This window comes from Homo sapiens, chromosome 11 (genome assembly GCF_000001405.40).
Source record: "Homo sapiens chromosome 11, GRCh38.p14 Primary Assembly".
Taxonomy (NCBI): domain Eukaryota; kingdom Metazoa; phylum Chordata; class Mammalia; order Primates; family Hominidae; genus Homo; species Homo sapiens.
The window spans coordinates 130,600,854-130,605,495 of record NC_000011.10 but is presented as its reverse complement, the minus strand read 5'-3'; the positions used below and the strand labels follow the sequence as shown (position 1 = coordinate 130,605,495).

Below are 4,642 nucleotides of genomic sequence, written 5' to 3'. Positions count from 1 at the left end.
TTACCCAGCTGGCAAGCAGCAGGGCCTGGATTAGAACTTGCTGTCCTGACCCCAGACCACATGGGGACAAGCGAGGATGCCTGGGCCAATGGGAGGAACTGAGAAGGACCTGAGAAGCTCCAAACACAGCCTACCCCTCTGCATTGCCCCCACCTCACCCCCGGAGTCACACCCCCAGGCCCATATACTCCACACCAAAGTTGGGGACTGAGCCAAGAAGCCTTCCTCTCACTCATATGGAAGGACTCTGATACTCATGTCTGAGGCACTGACTCCAACTGGGAACCTCCCACCAATCCAAACACAGCAGACTGGTCAGAAAGCTTTGGTTTTTTTCCTGTTGTTTATGGAGCCACACTCTGGAGGCCTGAGTCCATCTGACATAACCACAGGGCTGGTGCAGTAGAAGAGCTTCCACCTGGGGCTGCGAGAAAGCCGCCTGCAGCCAGGGAGTTCTCTCCTCATTGCAGTCTCTTCCACTTCTCCTTTGTTCACTCAACACTCACTGGATATGCTCTTTGCCAGGTCACATGCTAGGAACAAGACCCACAGACCTGTATTAAACAGAAACACCACCTTCAAAGAGTCCTCATTCCTGCGAGAAGCAAATCACATCAACTTTTTCTGGACAAACTCCATGAATCCAAGGGGATTGACTTCATTACTTGAGAAACCAAAGCAATGGAATTCCAGCCTGGCAGGTCAACTAGACCTGGAAGCTCCAACTCAGTGACCCAAGGCTATAAATTTATTAAGGACAGGAACTTATCCTCTCCTCTTCATAACCTTCTTTCCCCCTCAGAGCCTAACACAGTGCTTGGCAAACAATAATCACACACATATTTGTTAGATGAAAAAAACAGAATGCATGAATATCCCATGTCCCTCCCTCTCCACTCTCAATTTTCTCTTTCCTCTTTTTAGAAAAACCAAACATTCTTCTCTCTCATAAGTCTCTTGGAATTGCAGTTGATCCTAAGAGCTGAGAGAATGAGAGTGATTGAAAGAGAAAGGGGGAGAGAGAGAAGAAATTCAGCCTTAGAGAGAGTTGGCGCCGTAAGTCTCCCAATTTACCTGTTTCAGCAGCTGGCTCCTCCTAAAGTGAAAGTCAAGTCACCTCAACTGTTTATGATGCGCTGAAGTGCCCAGAAGCATGTTTTTATTATAAGGGGGAAAAAGGACATTTAAGACAACATTGCCTTTAAAAGCTTATAATCTACCTTGGATGACAAATTTGGTATGCATGAAATAATCAAAGACAAACAACACAACAACACGTGACAAAGTATCTCATCAGTGGGTTCATATGGGGAAACATTTATGGAAGAGGCAGGTGTCAAAGAGATCTCAAAAAATAAATGGCGCCTAGAGCCTTATGGGGCAAGGGTGGAGGAATGAAATCAGTATCGGGGTACTCATTACATTACCACTATATTCAACAAGCTATACGCAACGCCTCGTTTAATCGGCCCCACCATCATGCGAAGTAGCTACTATTATCCCCATTTTATAGATGAGGAAACAGGCCCAATGAAATTAAGTGAATTATTCATGATTATGGTTCAGCTCCAGGCCTGTGTGACTCCAAAGCTCATGATATTTGCACTGCACTGTGTCCACGGAGGAGCTGAGAAGAGACTCTGGTGCCGATTATCATAAAACTATATAAAAAAGCAAAAGCCAGCCAAGTTGTGGAAACTACACAGAGCCTTAGCTGTTTAAAGCAGTCACCTGCTCACAGTATTTTTCAATGACTGTGACGCCCTGCCCGTCTTATCATCACCACCATCATCCTGAGTCTCCACATAACTAACAATAACCATGTGGGAGGTGCTGGGCTAAGTTATTGCTCCATTTCATCCTCCCAACAATCCAGGGAGTGTAAGTGTGCTATTGTCCCCACATTACAGGTGAGAAAACAGGTGCAAGAAAAAAACTTACCCAAATCATACAACTCTTAATTGGCAGAGCTGAGATGTCAGCGTAGGCAGCCTGATCCTGGTCCCAAGGTCCCAAACACAGGGCTCATTCTTTGAGATTCTATCTGCAGGGAAGTAGGGCGTGACCTTGCAGGTGGCACAGACAGAACAAAAGACTAAATGTGCAAATAGGAAAATGATTGGTTTGATTAGGCCACTTAAGGCTCTGAAGCAGTAATCGTGGAGGGAGAGGATATCCCACGCAGGCTGGCCTGAGATGATTCACGGAGGGAACGGGCCTTCAGGAGCTGCCAGATGGCGGAAGGGCAAGGCCTCAGGGCTGTGGGAAGCCAAGCATGGCGGGCCCTGTGGACAGCAAAGGGGAAGGAGGTGCCACTTCAAGGCCATGACTCCTGCAGAGGTAGCCCTGGGCTTGATCGGGGCCTATCCCCACACCTGCCACGTACCCCAAAGGCAGCCAGGGTCCCTCCAGTTCCTCTGTCCCTGACAAGTGATGGATGCCAGATGCCTTATCCTTCATGGGAGGAAATGTATCTTGGAATATGATCTCTCTTTAGAGTACATGTTGCTGCTTTTATAGGTTGTGAGTGGAATCCCACAGACTCCTGCTTGCCCTCCCTCCCCTCACTGCTCCTCCACTCCCAGCTCGGTGTTCCTTCGTAAATCACCAGCCCAACAGAGCCAAGTTCTGCTTCCCACTTTTTAAGTCTGAGGGCATTTATTCCTGCTGATAAACCAGATTTAGACAGCTTCGCAAACCCCCGACTGTGGCCAAGACTGTGAAGGTGAAATATTCATTGAGCTCTGGCCTGTCAAGGGGAAGAATGTACAGAATAGGCTAAACTGGCATGGTTCCTGCACGTTACTGTCCAAAGGAGAATTACTTTTGTCAAGGACTGGAGCTGGGTTTGGGGTTTGGCTAGAAATATAAATCAGGATTATTACATTGGTGCTTCCCACCAAATTCCCAGAAAGGGAAGGCAACACAGCAGGCCTCAATTTTAACCTGCGGATTCACCGTAACAAACAACGCCCCCTGTGCAAACCCAACTGTCATTGTGGCCAGTACATGACTAGACCAGAACCCTAGAAGCAGCCACGCTCCTCACCCTCTGCACTGACTCTAGCACCCTCCAGCACCCCTCATGCCTGTTTACAGAAGAGGGCAGGCCCAGGGGTCAGGTCAGAGCCAGGCCATATTGCAGATTCTGGTATTTCTTTAGTTTTGCAGGATCCTGGCCAAATCTTCCCATAGAGTCACTCCATCGTGTCAGACACCAGGAAATGGTGCTCATTTATGGGGTGTGCAAGATTGAAAAATATAACTGGTGTGTTTCTGGGGTGTGGGGGCAGGAGCCTGAGCAAGGCCATTAACCCCTTCTTCTCCTCAGAAGCTGCCTGCTGTGTATGAATACCCAGCAAAGCCAGGCGATGAGCACAGGGGCCTGCCCAGCACCATTCCCAGAGCAGCAGAGCAAGCACACGGGCAGTTTCCTTCCCCAGAGGCTGAGCTCAGGGAGACTTCCCTCTCAAATTGTGGCCCACTGCCCTGCGTTACTCTCGTGCACACCGAAGGCCTCCATGATTGATGGGAGACAGGTGACCGCAGCGAGAGGAGCCAAGTGCCTCCCAATGTCACGCTGCGTACCTTGGCATCCACTGCACATTTGTCGCAGTGGCATGGCCAACGTCACAGGATGGTGGGAGAAACATCAAGCCCCAAAGCAAGATGCATGTGGGAAAGTCCTCCCGACAGCCAACAATTGTGGGGAGACGCGCAGATTCCCAGCAAGAGCACTGGCTTTACAAACGGCTGCTATGGAGGCACACCCCATCTGCGCCGCGTTCCAGCTACATGGCCTTTAGCTGGTTGCTCTCACTCAGATTCTACTTCCTCGCCTGGAAAATGGGGATGTAACATCTGTGAGTCAGTGTCATCGTGAGAATTGACGGACACAATGCCATCAACATGGTCACAGCACGTGAGTGCCCATCAGTGAGCCCCATTCTCATTATTCTCCACGATGAGCAGAGCAGAAAGGAAGACAAGCCTCTCTCCCCCTCTCCAACCCCCAGGCTAGTCTGCTTGGCTATGGCCTTGCTGACCATCACAGCATTTGATTTCACTTCCTCTTTGTAAGACTTTGATCACGTCACTCCCCAAAACATTTAACACGTCCTCTGAAACTAACAAACAAACTCCAGGCTGAGCCTGGCCATCCTGTGCTCGGCAGGGAGCCCGGCTTTCCCATCTCCTGCCCCTCCTCCTCTCTGATTTCATGCTGCAGTCACCCGCTGTTGTCCCTGGATACCCCACAGGCCCTCCCACTGAGCTCTCGGCCCTACCGTCCACTTAGGAAATGGGAGAGGAAGGAATGTCCTTGTCTACCTCACAGAGACTCTTTTCAGTAGGAAAAGTAACAAATTACTATATGCGGACTATAAAATTCAGAGTACAAGAATTTATTATACTATATACATTGTCTGGTATGGCTTATAATTACTTTTCAGATGGTACATATGTTTTATACACTCTTCTAGATATATGATACATTTCACAATTATGTAAAACGTTTTAACAGTTTGCCTCCCACTCCAAGCCCTCAATCTACTTCTCCTGCAGCAACCACTGTGAGCAGGTTCTCATGTATCCTTCTGATATGGTTTGCATCTGTGTCCCTGCCCAAATCCGATGTCAAATT

The 4,642-nt window shown here is 48.8% G+C and overlaps 1 annotated feature.

The window, feature by feature from the left end:
• Positions 3,736–4,421: an enhancer, noted in NCBI's record as "NANOG-H3K4me1 hESC enhancer chr11:130470970-130471655 (GRCh37/hg19 assembly coordinates)". NCBI's record gives its function as "activates a minimal SCP1, AML or CMV promoter by ChIP-STARR-seq in naive H9 embryonic stem cells {active_cell/tissue: H9 hESC(naive)}" and the evidence as "EXISTENCE:reporter gene assay evidence [ECO:0000049][PMID:30033119]".